A 15,744-nucleotide genomic window follows, 5' to 3' on the forward strand; every position below is an offset into this window, starting at 1 on the left:
AGTATCTCCTACGTTCAGACACATTTCCCAAGTATCTGCTATGTTCAGACACATTTCCCAAGTATCTCCTAGGTTCAGACACATTTCCCAAGTATCTGCTACGTTCAGACACATTTCCCAAGTATCTCCTACGTTCAGATACATTTCCCAAATATCTCCTATGTTCAGATACATTTCCCAAGTATCTCCTAGGTTCAGACACATTTCCCAAGTATCTCCTAAGTTCAGATACATTTCCCAAGTATCTGCTACATTCAGACACATTTCCCAAGTATCTCCTAGGTTCAGACACATTTCCCAAGTATCTCCTACGTTCAGACACATTTCCCAAGTATCTCCTATGTTCAGACACATTTCCCAAGTATCTCCTAGGTTCAGACACATTTCCGAAGTATCAACTACGTTCAGACACATTTCCCAAGTATCTCCTATATTCAGACACATTTCCGAAATATCAACTACATTCAGACACATTTCCCAAGTATCTCCTATATTCAGACACATTTCCCAAATATCTCCTATGTTCAGATACACTTTAGGGTCTCCGACCACCCACAATGAAAGCTATCTACATAAATATATAAGGGATTTGCTAAGAACAGGAACAATCACATTCCTTGGTAGTCTATAAATACAGAATCAACAGATCCATCAGTCTCATTATAGACTGGGCACTCACCCAAACTGATCTTTAAGGACTTTTCCCCATCCAGTAACTGGGAACTAATTGCTCTAGTCTACACTATCAGCATGTTTTACCAATGGGTGCTGGTAATGGAGCAGCCACAGTTCCATTTTAATGTTTGGTAATAATACAAATAACTTGTTTGGAGTACAGAAAAAAATACATAAATCAGCAACATAGCTCAAATATGGATAGAGAAAATGACAGAATGATTTAGAATGAAACAAAATAGTTTTTCAATAACTAAAAAATGTATTTTCCAGAAAAAAAGACAATTGCTTACTTTGCTGCAGATTTCTGTATCAACGGTGAAATTAGATGGAAACGTATATATGCTAAAAGAAAAAAGACCATAGATAAAAAAGGTTAGGGGCCTCAGATATTTTATACATCTGTTATTTTCCCCTAATATATATATTTTTTAAATTCTGAAGTAAACTACTAATCCTTAAATCCTCATTACATCTTTATTCTTAAGGGTCTTTAAAAAGCAGTATTTACCATTCCAAATAAAGAGTTCCAAAAGGCACTCTTTAATCTATGGGAAGACCAGACATAAGGGCAGATACTTAGAGAGGCCTATAAATACTCTTATTAATAGCTTCAGTCAGGAAAAATTTTTAGAGGACAGATGCTAAGAACATTAAGAGAACAACTCCAGCATTCACACAAATTTACAGCAGAGGCTTTCCAAGGAAACTGAATTTGAGGAGATTTTTAGAAACTCATAAGCTATTCAAAAAAAATTATGAAAATAACTTCCCAATAAACTCAATAATCCCACAGAGCTACAATATAGTTGTGTTTTGAGGTTGGGGATATGGGTTAAATGACATACAAGAGCACCCAGCCTATGATTCCATGTGGCTTCAATAAGTTCCTTATGCCATGTTCAAGAACAGAACGGTAAAAAGCAGCACACTTAGGGCCACAACATTAAAGATAAGGACTTTAGAGTCTACTTAACTCTATACTATGCTTCCTTTATGCTGAAAAAAAAATGGTAGAAGGAGGCAGTTGGTGGGGCTTTCACATTTGTAATGCTGGACTAGGCTATCTGTCTATGAATAATTCCTTTGTGTATTCTTATCTCTTTTTAAAAACAACAATGTTCAAATCACACGAGTTCCTTAAGATGGCCAAATACCTGGCTCTGCTTTCATTTAACTGAAAGAAAAAAATCTAAAAACGATTTCATTCTAGCCTTAAATTTTCATTTCCTGGACACTGGAGTGTCCATAAGGATTTCTGTGACAGCATAGGAGGACAGTATAAATCTGGTAGATAAGCCTAGAAAAAGTCTTCAAACGGAAGGGGAAAAGGAAAGAGAAGTAGGTGATATACACAGGGGAAGCAAGTTACAGCAAAGTGGAGAAATATTTGTTTTACTTATTTTACTCCTTTTAGGGAGGGTGAGAGGGCATCAAGGTGGCTGATAGAGGCACCCAGCCCCAGCCTCCTCCACAAAGGAAGATCAAAATAGCAAGTAGATAATCACATGTGAAACAGAGCATCTAAAGAGAACACTGGAATTCAGCAGGGAAGTAACAGGAGGGCAACATTTTACCTTTGGGGATTTTGAATTTGTTGTCTTTCTTATACCACAGGCAACCTTGTGGAGTATTCACAATTTTAACTGGGTATTCTGTTTCCGGGCAATCGAAAGCCTTCAACGTAAAGTCCGTGGCTAATAAAAGAAGATAATAATAATTCACTCAAGTATTTCAGCAGGAGCCCCAGTAATCTGTTATTGGCTTCAGAAGTCTAAGTAACTTTTCTCTGTGGCAAAAATAAGCCAAATTCAAATGTTGGAATACATTAAATTAGTAGACCAATACCAAAGGGAAAACTATGTTGGTCTTAAAGTAAATAAATTCTAAAGATCTGGAATTTCCCAAGAACTGATTCTGGTTGCTACACATTCTGCTTCATTCCCTTTCTTACAGACAATTTTAACTGAGAGAGGAGCCTTTAGTCAGGATAGTTTCATAAACCAATTTATTAAACAATCCATTAATTCATGAGAATGCCTTTTACCAACCTTATGCTATACATTTGAAAAGTTACAAAATAGTTCTGCTCAAAGTCAAACTTGTCCTTTTGGTTAATTAAAACAACAGTTTCATTATCACATAGATGAAAAATAGCTAATTTTTAAAATTTGAGTACTTGCTATATTTAGGTAAAAGAGCTGGATTTGGTAGGCATGGTGGCTCATGCCTGTAATCCCAACACTTTAGAAGGCTGAAGCAGGAGGATCACTTGAAGCCAGGAGTTTGAGACCAGCCTGGGCAACATAGAGAGACCACATCTCTAGAAACAAATTAAAAATTAGCTGGGCATTGTGGTGCGCACCTGTAATCCCAGCTACTCAAGAGGCTGACACAGGAGGACTGCTTGAGTTCAGCAGGTCAAGGCTGCAGTGAGCCATGATCATGCCACTGCACTCCAACCTGGGCAACAGAGTAAAACCCTAACTCAGAAAACCAAAATAATAAGCTAACTGGGTTGTTTAGATTATTTACAGTTCAAGATATGAAACTGAAGTGTCTAATATAGATAATTAATACTTTTTTTTTTTTTTTTTTTGGCGTGTGTGATGGAGTTTCACTCTTGTTGCCCAGGCTGGAGTGCAATGGTGCGATCTCAACTCACTGCAACCTCGGCCTCCTGGGTTCAAGTGATTCTCCTGCCTTAGCCTCCCAAATAGCTGGGATTACAGGCATGCGCCACCACGCCTGGCTAATTTTGTATTTTTTTGGAGAGATGGGGTTTCTCCATGTTCCTCAGGCTGGTCTCAAACTCCTGACCTCAGGTGATGTGCCTGCCTTGGCCTCCCAAAGTGCTGGGATTACAGGTATGAGCCATGGCACCTGGCCAATACTTTTTTAAAAGGCTTTTTTTCCCTAATGAAAGGGAGATTCACATAACATAAACTTAGCTATTTTAAAGTGAACAATTCAGAAGCATTAATACATTCACGATGTTGTGCAACTACCACTTCTAGCTAGTTCCAAATCATTTTCATCACCCCAAAAGGAAACCCCCTACTCCTTAAGAGACTGCTCCTCATTACCCACTCACCTCAGCCCCTAGCAATCATCAATCTATGTTCTGTCTCTGGATTTATCTATTCTGAATATTTCGTATACATGGACTTATCTGTGACCTTTTGTGTCTAGCTTCTTTCACTTAGCATGATGTTTGCAAGGTTCTTCCCCATTATAGTATGTATCAGTACTACACTTTTTATGAGTAATATTGTAAAGTATGTATACATCACAATTTGTTTATACATTCATCCACTGATGGACATTTGGGCTGTTTCCATCTTTTGAGTATTGTGAACAGTGCTCTGTGAACATGAAGGTCCATGTATTTGTTTGAGTACCTGTTTTCAATTATTTTGGGTATATACTTAGACATGTAATGAATGGCTTGGAAATACAGTGTTCTGAGTAAATTACAGTTATAAGCAACTCTAAAACCTTGGACCTAGGATTGGTAGCTTTCAATGATTTTTTTCTGCAACTCACTTAGAAATATGTTTTCCACTGCAAGCTAGTAGACAGGCAGATATCTGAAACAAAAGTTCTTAAAATAACATTATTTCTACATGCAATGAAACACTTTGCTATTTTCTATTCTAACTGATTTTTTAATGCTTTCATGGCTCATTACACTGACCTTACAATCTATTACATTGACTTCACAACCTTCTAATGGGCTGCCACCTGCAGTTTGAAAAGCAATAGAAAAATCTGGCAAGATAATGGCAATCCCTAAGGAGATTGGTATGAAAGGATCAGCTACTCTATACAAGATAAAGCATAAACTTCAGAGTCCCAAGATCTGTGTTTAAATCCTGGTTTCTTATTCACCAACTGAATAGTCTTGTACCAGTCACTTTGCTTTTTTGACCCCCAGTTTTCTCATTTGGAAAAGTAAGAAAATACTAATGCCAACCTCAGAATGTTACTGGGAATCTCAAATATAAATTCCTACGATACTTTGTAAAATATAATGTGCTATACAGGTGCCTATTAGCACATGGATGGATTATGTATAAAAATTGCTATTTTACTGACCTATGTACTTGTTTTCAGCTGGAAGATGAAGATCTGGATTTAATTCGAAATTACTATTCCACAGTTCAGCCCAAGAGTTTTCAATATCTGTAAAGGAGAAAAATAAACTGACCCAATAAACAATGCAATGTTCAACATTCTCTTAATAATAAACTAGTTATCAACTGGCTTACAAATCAATTATCCTTTCTCAGGAATACTGTGACTGACACATATCCAGGCATTCTAGAATCGTGCTACTCAAAGTGTGGTCCTAGCAGCACTGGCATCACCTGGGAGATTGTCAGAAATGCAGAATCTGGCCAGGCACGGTGGCTCACACCTGTAAGCTCAACACGTTGGGAGGCTGAGGTGGGTGGATCACCTAAGATCAGGAGTTCAAGACCAGACTGACCAACATGGTGAAACCCCAGACAGATTTCTACTAAAAATACAAAATTAGCCGGGCATGGTGGCATATGCCTGTAATCCCAGCTACTTGGGAAGCAGGGACAGGAGAATTGCTTGAACCCAGGGGGCAAAAGAAGTTGCAGTGAGCCAAGATCGCACCACTGCACTCCAGCCTGAGCAACAAGAGCAAAACTCTGTCTCAAAAAAAAAAAAGAAAAGAAAAAAGAGAAATGCAGAATCTCAGGCCCTACCCAGACCCTCTGACTCAGAATCTGCATTTTAGTAAGATCTCCAAGTGACAAAAATGCACACTACATTTGAGAAGCATTCTTCTAAAACTAAGTCAAAACTCTGCCCCCAAAATACCAAGATAACAGAATTTTTTCACTAGTTAGTAAATATAAACATAGCAGAAAATAACTTCCTGTGCAGTAGTATAAGTAATTTTCATTTCAAAGTGAACTTTTTAAAAAATTATACTTTTTCCCCCTCTAGAACCATTAAATTATTAAAGAATAAACATTTCCAGGTAAGTTAAATATACCTAAATGTAAGACAATTGTTAAAATATTTTACCTTCTATACTATATTGAGTTCCAAACCATTTCTCCTTGAGGTCACATTTTCCCTCATTAGCACCAGACAGTAAAACAAGATTTGCTTTTTGAGGAACTAGCTGATTCAAGGCTTCACCAATGACCTAGTAAAGTGGGAAGAGGGGAAAGAGATACACACAATTTTAACCTAATACATCTCTGTTAAAAAGGCAAAAATCACATTGTTAGGCACCTCCAAGATCTATGCTCATAAAAATACCTACAGTTCATGAACACCCTAATTTACAAAGTCTCAACAGTGTTTCAAAAACTTTTTTCCTACTTTATTGAGGTATAGTTGACAAATATCAAGTATATTCTTGATAATGCTTTAAACAGTGTTTATCTTAAATCCTACATATTAACAGCATTAGCAGTAAAAATAGCTATCCTTTACTACTAAGCTTCTACTGTGAGCCAGGAAGTATTTAACATACATTATTTCATTTATTCCTAAAAACAATCCTAAGATATACTTATTTACACAAAATAACAGTCAGCTTTGGGTGATGGTTAAGTAATTTGCTCAGGTTAAAGATTATGTAACTTGTACAGAATAATACAGCTAGAAGTGGCAAAAGTGGAGTTCTAACTAAATTTGTACATGCTACCAAGGACTATGCTCCTAACAGCTATGTTTTGTATCACTTCATATCCAGGAATCAGTAAAACACTGCCAAGATAGGGCCTCCTTCAGTAATCCTCCAGCTACAATAAGGACTAAACAGAATTTTGTGGCTTGGTTTGGAGCCCTAACTACTACTTAAACACCATTTATTTAAGTATAAAACAACAAATGGTGGTTCAGAAAAAAACACAACCAGCCACTACCAGGCACAACCATCCTAGTGACATGGCAAGAATGTGTGGTTGTTCCTTCCTCCTTTACCTTTCCCTGTCCTCTTTAAAATTAATAGTTTAGGAACGTCTATGCTAAAATATCTCAAGGAATGCCCTATAATTTCTTAATCTCAGCACTATGAACATCTTGTGTCAAATAACTATGGTAGGATCCTGCCTTCTGCATTATAGGACATTGAGCAGCATCCCTGGCTTCCACCCACTGGATCCCAGGAGCACCCCACGCCCCACCCTGAGTTGTGACAACCAAAATGTCTCCGGACAGTGATAAATATCCCCTGGAAGGCAAAAGTCACCTCTGGTTGACGCGCGCTAGCCTGTATGAAACAAAATGACTTATTCTCCACTAGTGAAGGAATGACCCTGACCGACAATGTATTGGCATGTAACATTATCCCTAAGTCATATGTTTCTAATTCGGGAACCTTACATTTTTTTAATAAATATTTTCAAAATGATTAAAAATTTAATTGTCCTGACTCTCCAACTGAATTAAAAGGTAAGCTAAACAACTACGTATTTTTCACAGGGAAACCACATAATTCTTAGGAATCACTTCATCTATTGCAGTAGATGTTTCAACATTTGAAAATTATTAAAATAGGACCTAACAAGTACTGAGTTTGATTTTCTCCTTATATTAAAACTTAATTATGTAAAAGAACCATGAGAAATTATTCACAAAACTGTTGATACTTCTGTTTAAACAAACAAAAATCCTGACTAAATATAACTAAGTTTTCTTCGTTCCCATGGTTCTTAAATACATCTTCGTACTTTCTCACCCTCCTCTTCCCCTAAAAGTAAGTTTTAGACGTATAAACCTCCTTACTTCTGGCTTGTATTCAAAAAGAAGCTGATCTCCAGTGAGAATGTCCTGCAATGGGTACAGCTGCATGTTCTCACACATGTTTTCCACATACTCAACTGGATCTGTCTGTAAAGAGGTAAATTATTTCACACCAGAACTTCTCCATTATTATATTTGATTTACCACAACATACAAATACTTTCTCCCTTTCTTATTAACAATAAAACCAAAAGCTTCTGAACAGATACAACGAGATATAATTGCAGCTTAAGAATCTGATGCTCAGTAGGCTGGACATAGTGGCTCACGCCTGTAATCCCAGCATTTGGGAGACAGAGGTGGTTAGATTACTTGAGACCAGCCTGGGCAACATGGCGAAACCCTGTCTTTACAAAAAATGCAAAAATAAGCCAGGTGTGGCAGTACACGCCTGTAGTGTCAGCTCCTTGGGGAGCTGAGGTGGGAGGGATGCTTGAGCCCAGGAGGTTGAAGCTGCAGTGAGCTGAGATCGTGCCACCATACTCCAGCATGGGCAACAAAGCAAGACCCTATCTCCAAAAAAAAAAAATTCTAAGAAAATATAGCCATAGCTACTCCCTTAGGGAGCTTAAACTCATACCCTTCATGCATCACTCTGAGCCCTATAACCCATTAGGTTCTAGTCATATCACAGCCTCTTCATGAGAGCAATTACCACACTGGACTATGAATGCCTGTTTACCAGTCAAGTGCCCCACATGATTATGTGAGCAATAAAGACAGGCAACCTATCACTACAGCACTATCGTCTAAACACTATTTGTAAGCATGAATCAAATCAATGTAGAAATCAAAATGTGTTGGGCCGGGCACAGTGGCTCATGCCTGTAGTTCCAGCTATTTGGGAGGCTGAGGCAGGAGAATAGCTTGAACCTGGGAGGCGGAGGTTGCAGTGAGCCAAGATCATGCCACCGCACTCCTGCCCAGATGACAGAGCAAGACTCTGTCTCAAAAAAAAAAAAAAAAAAAAAAAATCAAAATGTGTTGACTGGGCATGGTGGCTCATGCCTGTGATCCTACCACTTTGGGAGGCCAATGAGGGAGGATAACTTGAGCCCAGTTTGAGGTAAGCCTGGGCAACACAGCAAGACCCTGTCTCTAATTAAAATTTTAAAAAAATTAAAATGTGACTGTCAGATAAAAGTCTTGCGATAAGAAGTTATATTAATAAAAATATTATTTTAATTTAAAACTGAAAGAATGACCACTTGTTCACTGATACATGAAATGGAAATATTTTTCCAGAGGAACGTAGTCAATTCAAGTATTTACCGAGCACCCAGATACACAGACTCTTAAAACTGACAGGTCCTTCAGATACCAAGTGGTTCCAGTCCCATGTTTTACAATGAGGAAACATAGTCGGATTTTTCCTGACTAGATGGCTAGATGGCTTGCCTAAGGTCACACAGTGAGTAAACGACAGGCAGAGCGGACATCAGAACTCTGACCTCATAACATATCCCATACGCTTCCCAAAACACCACACTGCCCAGTCCTTTACTAGATGCCTGGGCTCAAGCAACCTGCCTGCTCGACCTCCCAAAATGCTTGGATTACAGGCATGAGCCACAGTGCCCAGCCTGTGAGCCTATTTCAATCAAGGAAAATGCTCTCCTTCCCCTGAATTCCAAAGCACAATGTTTCTAACATTATACATGGTAAATATAAATTACCTTATAGAATGTCTTCACAATATTTGAATTCCCAAAATATTAAATACCATAACAAGTCTCCATGAATGTTTATTGAAGGGATAGATGGATGACTATGTAGATAAATGATTACCACACAACATCATCTGTGTCATCTGCTTAATCCTCTCACTGCCTTATCTTACTCAATATAAATACTCAAAAACCCAATAGTTAATTTTCAGATAGCTTCAAGGCCACCTGGAGACTCACATGACACAGAATGACAGAATTAAAACTCCACCGACACTTTCAAAAAGAGGAACAATGTCTACACCAGCTTCAACTCAGTCACAGATAACATGCAAAAAGAATTTGACTTCCAGTACCTGTTCTTGGTAATGAAATTCATTATCCTCAATTTTCCGAATCTCTTCAAAAATTCTGTGAAGGAGAAAACTATAATTAGAAGATACATTAAAATTTCTGCCTACTTGAGGGAGAAGGGCGGGAGGAGGGAGAGGATCAGAAAAGGTAACTATTGGGTAGTAGGCTTAGTACCTGGGTGACAAAATAATCTGTACAACAAACCACCGTGACACAAGTTTACCTACATAACAAACCTGCACATATACCCCTGAACCTAGAATAAAAGTTTAAAAAATTCTCAATAGAAGCATCAACAATAAAAGAGAAGCGTGAAAATAAAGGGACTGCCCACATATGTGTAAAGCCTTAGTATACAATCACATGTAGAGGGATAAGGATATGGAGTCAATAAAGGAAATAGAGCAGAAAATGCCTGAAAAACCATCAAGGCAAGACTAAAGCATGTCTACCGGCAGCCTGAAGCCTCAAATATACCAGGACTGGCTCCTGGCCTCATTCCAGGAAGTGTTTATTACCTTTTTTCTGGGCCTAGCTTCTGCAGCATTTTTAAATACTGAAAGACAGTGTAAGCAACCTGAAAACAAAACATCCAATTAGTCTTTTGCATAAAGTGATATCTACGTAAAAGGAAAAAACAACTGAATTTGAATTATTTACCTCATAAAAATGTTCATAACCCTCATCAGTCAATGTAATAGAAATGCTGAACACTGAATAAGTAGAATTTTGCTCAAATCCTGTCTCACCATTTCCACCAAACAGTGCAAGAGCCCAGCATCTACAGGTGGGGAAAAAATTAACCCAATCAATGTTCCTGGATTGACAGTCTACAGACATTCAAATTAACAAAATATAGAGGCTTTCTATGTAAAATGTGGAAATCTCAGCCTTTGAATGTAAACATATACTTTCCAACAGTAAATCTAAAAGTGCAAATTTTAAAAGCACAAAGCCTCCCAAGGAATTGTGGTACATTTAGGAATCACCAGAAGGAAATAACAGTCTTTGTTTAATGCAAATACGAATAGATATGGCACCATAATAAAACATTAACAGTTTTATTAAGCCAAAACCATTCCTTTTGAAGAGAACAGCACAAAATATTCAAATGATGGCTGCTGGAAAGCATTTTGCTTACCTTTTTTTCTTTTTTTTTTTTTTTTTTTTTAATAAAGACAGGGTCTTACAATGTTGCCCAGTCTGGTCTCGAACTCCTGGGCTCAAGCAATCCTCCACCTCGGCCTCCCAAGTGCTGGAATTACAGGCGTGAGCCACCGCGCCTGGCCTCACCATTTTTGAACCTGTCTCCTAGGAGAAGCCTTAAGACACTTCTAAAACATACTTACATTGAATGTCAAGTGAGTTCTTTGAGGCTGTCAGCTAACCTACATAGGTTGTCTAAGAAAGAAATAATGAGACTATACCTTTCCCTGACTAGATTAATTCTGAAAAATTAAAAAGAGAGGACACCAGAATAGAGTCTGAAATTCTAATAAAGCTCAGTAAGGTAGAAAGGTTGTGCACAGCTCAAAGCATATAACATATATTGTGTAAGGTACATATGAACCCAATATCATTAGTTTATTATTTTATAGTTAACTCTCCCCTCTTAGTTTTCTTTGAATGTTCTAGTACACGAAAGTGTCTTAAAAATACTTATTTAAATGTCTCATCTATCCTTCCATTCTCATACTATTCATTTATAGAAAAATCAAACAAGGAATTACTTTAATATATTAGTCTTGATTCTAAAATTGTATTTCTATTATTTGGCTATAGGTGACTTAAACAGGTGCTTTAATGCTTAGGAAACATTCTGCTAACATGGCTGCATATACCATTTGCAGTCCCACCTATTAACTATGATTTACCTACCCAATGAAGTTTTCATTAAAGTCTAGCCTTGGGGGTTAGGAAAGCCTGGAGATCCATGGCATTTAAATAATTGATTTCTTTACCATTCAGTCAAATATAAATTCTTGATTAGAGCTAATTCTTTTATGTAATTCTGGAATCTATTAATTTCATTTATGATTTTTTAAAATTTTGTGTACAAATAACTTCCAACAATGGGCTAAAAGGTGGCTTACAAGGAAATACACAAATATAATATGGCCATTAAAATAATGTAAGTTATTAAAATAACTATAATTAAGCATTAAATTTTATTCTAGGCTTCCTGGCAGCTAAAGTAAAAGAATGCATTATATAATACTTATTGTCTACTATTTTTCAGAGATTGCTATACTGAAAATACTTATTAATTGAATACTTGCTTTTTCCTAAGGAAAGAAAGAATGCTGCCTTTGCCTTCATGTCCAACCAGCCAGGATATATAATGAAGTGGCTTCACCCTTTTAAAAAAATTTAATGGTCAGAAGAAAAAAACAAAAGGTATAAATACACCAGAAAATCTTACCTCTAAGGCTACAATAATTGAAAATATAATCACAAACTTATTCTCACATATGTCCACTAAACATGAAATTATAATTAATTTAGTAGCAGGAAGATAAAAACAGAAAATATAGTAAAATTAACTCTTTCATTTGAGATTACTGAAGAGTACAATCATCCCAAAATTTAAGGGCACTACTTTTTCTCTTGGACACCAAACTTATCTGCTCTCATGATAAATCTTTTTGCTTCACCCAATATGAAATGTAGATTCCTTATCAGTCTAGAACCTAATATAGGTATGAATTACTGTCTGTAAAAGCTTTTGGTACCACATTGGGTTCTGTGGTAAAATGAAATGTGTTGTTCAGAGGGTCAGAAAATCTTGGTTCTAGTTTTAGTTTTTCCTTTAAGTAAATCATGACCTTGAGCAAGATACTTAACCGTATTCTTCTTTTTCTCTTCACTTGCCCAACTACTTACTCACAGAGTTTTCATGAAAATGCAATAACAAGTATAAAAATGCTTTATCACATACTAATAATGTAATAGTCCGAGTAATTGTGCACATGCTGTTCAAACTGTCTTTCCCCCTGGCCTCTACTGTAATTTTGTTAAAGTATTCCTACCACAAAGACATACAGAAAAAAATTGAGTTTTCTGTATATTTCTGTATATATGAGAAAATTTAATTAGGTTACACAGTTAAATTCAGTAAATTCTTGAATGTCAAGATATGATTTTCAACTATGTTAGGCAATCCTTAAAGCCCATACAACCTTGTTTAAAATATGAATTTGGCTGGGCACAGTGGCTCATGTCTGTAATCCCAGCACTTTGGGAGGCCAAGGTGAGTGGACTGCTTGAGCCCCACCCCCCCTCCCAAAAAAGTTAAATTTTTATCAGTTGATTAGCATTTATTTCTAACTGGAAAAGCATTTGTAGGCATTGACTGATCCTTAACTTAAATAATTCTCTGGCCCATGCTACACTGCTCATATAAGATAACTATACAGACAAGTAGAACTCCTTTCCCAATCTGCATAAACCTGCCCTAATTCAGAGGAGTAAATCCTTGGGATTTATGTACCCTAGTCATATTACCAATCCAAATTATTATTATTTTGAGACAGAGTCTTGCTTTGTCAACCCAGGCTGGAGTGCAGTGGCGCAATATCAACTCACTGCAACCTCCACCTCTCAGCTTCAAACAATTCTCGTGCCTCAGCCACCTGAGTAGCTGGGATTACAGGTGTGTGCCACCACGCCTTGGCTAGTTTTTTGATATTTTTAGTCGAGACAGGGTTTCGCTATGTTGGCCAGTCTGCCAGGCCCAAATTATTTAACTTTATTTTTGACAAGATCGAAACAAATTACAAAAGTTAGCATTCACACTAAACACTTAATTTCAAAGACTTAAGAAAGGCCACTATAACTGAGAAAGCTCTAGTTTTTATATCCAAAAAATAGTAAAATACATAGCAAGGCTTGAAAGCTCCCGGAGTAATCAAGTTCCAGGTTACCGTATTGCTATGTTTATAAATTCAGAACCCCCAAACTTAAACCATTTAGCATGCTTTAAAAATTACTCTCACTTGGTTCTAATGAAGTAAATTTTCCCTTAAACTCTTACCTGTAATGTTGCTGTTGAGGAGGAAGTGCCCATGTGATGGTCAGAGCATGAATTTTTCTGATTGGAACAACTAAACAAAAATATTTTCCAGAAGAACAGATGTAAGTGTTTCTCTATGACTTTTACTACAAGAATGTTTAAAATTCAATATATTTATCCTCCAATAAACAAGGAAAGGTTAAGTACAATGCAGTTATTGTTTCAACTTGCCAATTTTCCAACTCGAATAATGCAATTTTTGTAAATTTCTTTTTTATTTGGTTTCAGAGGTAGAGAAAGCAGGGATAAAAGAACTATGAGGATATGAAATGCTGCTGTGTATGGATCTCTTCTTGCAAGAAAGGATACAAAACTAGGAGTCAGGAGACCCATGGCTGAAATTCAGTCCTACCACTATCTTGCTATATGTGCTTACATGACCTGAGAAAATCACTTGCATTTAAATCTTTTTGAATCTGTTTACTCATAGTAAAATGAGTTAGTTGGGTTAAAGTATCTCTAGGATTCTTCTCAATGCTATTATTCTATGAAGAGGAAACCTAAAACCAGAAAGAATACAATAAAAAGTAAGTTGTCTCTGGAAAGAGTTAGTTTAATATTAACAGAATGGAGCCAGCAGCAGAAGCGTGTAACAAAACAGTCACTGATTAGGGGAAAGCAAAAGAGACTGGTAACGGGGTGAAGAAGGAGGGAATACCTAAGGCAATTAGTAAAAACAGAAAAAAAAATCTGCCGTGATAGAATAAAGAGAGATGGTGAATTAAGAATGTTTCTGCAATATTCACTGTAGGCAAATTGTTAAGTAAATTATAATGTAATCACACAACTCATTATGTAGTTATTACAGGTATACTATTAAATGAAACAAAGCAGGAGACAGAATTATATATATACTTTATAATCTCGACTTTGTTAAGAAAATATACCTATTAGAAAATCAGAAAGAAATCTGGAGGCCGGGCGTGGTGGCTCATGCCTGTAATCCCAACACTGTGGGAGGCGAAGGCAGGCGGATCACTTGAGGCCAGGAGTTCGAGACCAGCCTGGCCAATGTGGTGAAACCCTGTCTCTACTAAAAACACAAAAATCAGCTGGGCATAGTGGTGAGTGCCTGTAATCACTGCCACTCAGCAGGCTGAGGCAGGAGAATCGCTTGAACCTGGGAGGCGAAGCAGTGAGCTGAGATCATGCCATTGTACTCCAGCCTGGGCAACAGAGCGAGACTCTGTCTCCAAAAAAAAAAAAAAGAAATCCGATACAAATGACTTCTCTTCATGGTAAGATTTAAGGGTGATTTATCTCCCATTTCTTGACATTTTATATTTTTATTTAGCAAATATTACTTTCACAATGAATTTAAAAGGAAACGATTGCCAAAGTGTTTTCCCTCTCATCTATTTTTATTCATTTAAAGGCAAAAGAGCAGAATATAAATAAAATGAAACATGAATGAAAATTTAACAAAACAGAGAACAAAAGGGAAGAAAGGTAAAACAAGGAGAAAGCATGAAATAGACTGAAGTAGCAGCAGGGCACCAGAATCAATCGATCTGCAGCTAGTCAGTGGTCTGCTATCTATTATTAATTAGATCTCCATTGCCCATCTACTTCCTTTCCAACCCAGCTGTATTTTCTGTTGTGTTCTCATTTTCAATGAAAATTGGCAGCTTCAATTAGGTTATAGAGAATGTGCTAACATTATTTCAAACAGTTTTAAACTTTTGGTTCACAAACCTCTATAAAGTTTGTTAAATGCTGGTGTGTCAAATGGATCCGTTAAATGGCCAAAGTTTGGTCTGGGTAACCCACTGAAAATAAAACAAATACATACAAATTTAACTGGCAAAAGCCTTTATAAGCAATATCTTTAGGGATATCTAACTGAGAGATATTTATAATCTATTCTACATACTCCTTCTTGGAAAGCATTCCAGGCATGAACAAATAGATGGCAACACAGCCACAAAATCTTCAGTTACACAATCTGTTCTTAGCCTCAGCCCAATAACTCAAAAGTCTTTACAACTCAAGAGATAGAGAATGAATTTAAAGGACCCCCTCTCACCCCAATATTTACTGACTCTATCAGCCTCATTTAATTTCAGTTCTCCTCCTAGACAAAGCCATTCCAGAAAGAAACAAACTAGAGATAATACTTTTTTAAAATCAACGATTATACATGAAGTGAATATTAGGTATAAAGCACTATATTAGGCACTG

General features: G+C 36.9%; 1 protein-coding gene across 3 annotated transcripts in view; it reads right to left on the reverse strand.

Annotated features, from left to right (window-relative positions):
- Positions 1-15,744, reverse strand: part of NRDC (nardilysin convertase) — an 89,518-nt gene that overhangs the window by 15,332 nt on the left and 58,442 nt on the right. For all 3 annotated transcript variants that reach the window (NM_001101662.2, NM_002525.3, NM_001242361.2), the window contains 11 exons: positions 15,259-15,332; positions 13,525-13,594; positions 11,771-11,848; positions 10,152-10,272; positions 10,010-10,068; positions 9,494-9,548; positions 7,453-7,557; positions 5,740-5,863; positions 4,774-4,860; positions 2,253-2,372; positions 969-1,020 (listed from right to left, as the gene is read on the reverse strand). In NM_001101662.2, the coding sequence (NP_001095132.1) occupies positions 969-1,020; positions 2,253-2,372; positions 4,774-4,860; positions 5,740-5,863; positions 7,453-7,557; positions 9,494-9,548; positions 10,010-10,068; positions 10,152-10,272; positions 11,771-11,848; positions 13,525-13,594; positions 15,259-15,332 (945 nt within the window). The remainder of the gene's footprint in view (positions 1-968; positions 1,021-2,252; positions 2,373-4,773; positions 4,861-5,739; positions 5,864-7,452; positions 7,558-9,493; positions 9,549-10,009; positions 10,069-10,151; positions 10,273-11,770; positions 11,849-13,524; positions 13,595-15,258; positions 15,333-15,744) is intronic.

The sequence above is a fragment of the Homo sapiens genome, chromosome 1 (genome assembly GCF_000001405.40).
Source record: "Homo sapiens chromosome 1, GRCh38.p14 Primary Assembly".
Classification (NCBI taxonomy): Eukaryota; Metazoa; Chordata; class Mammalia; order Primates; family Hominidae; genus Homo; species Homo sapiens.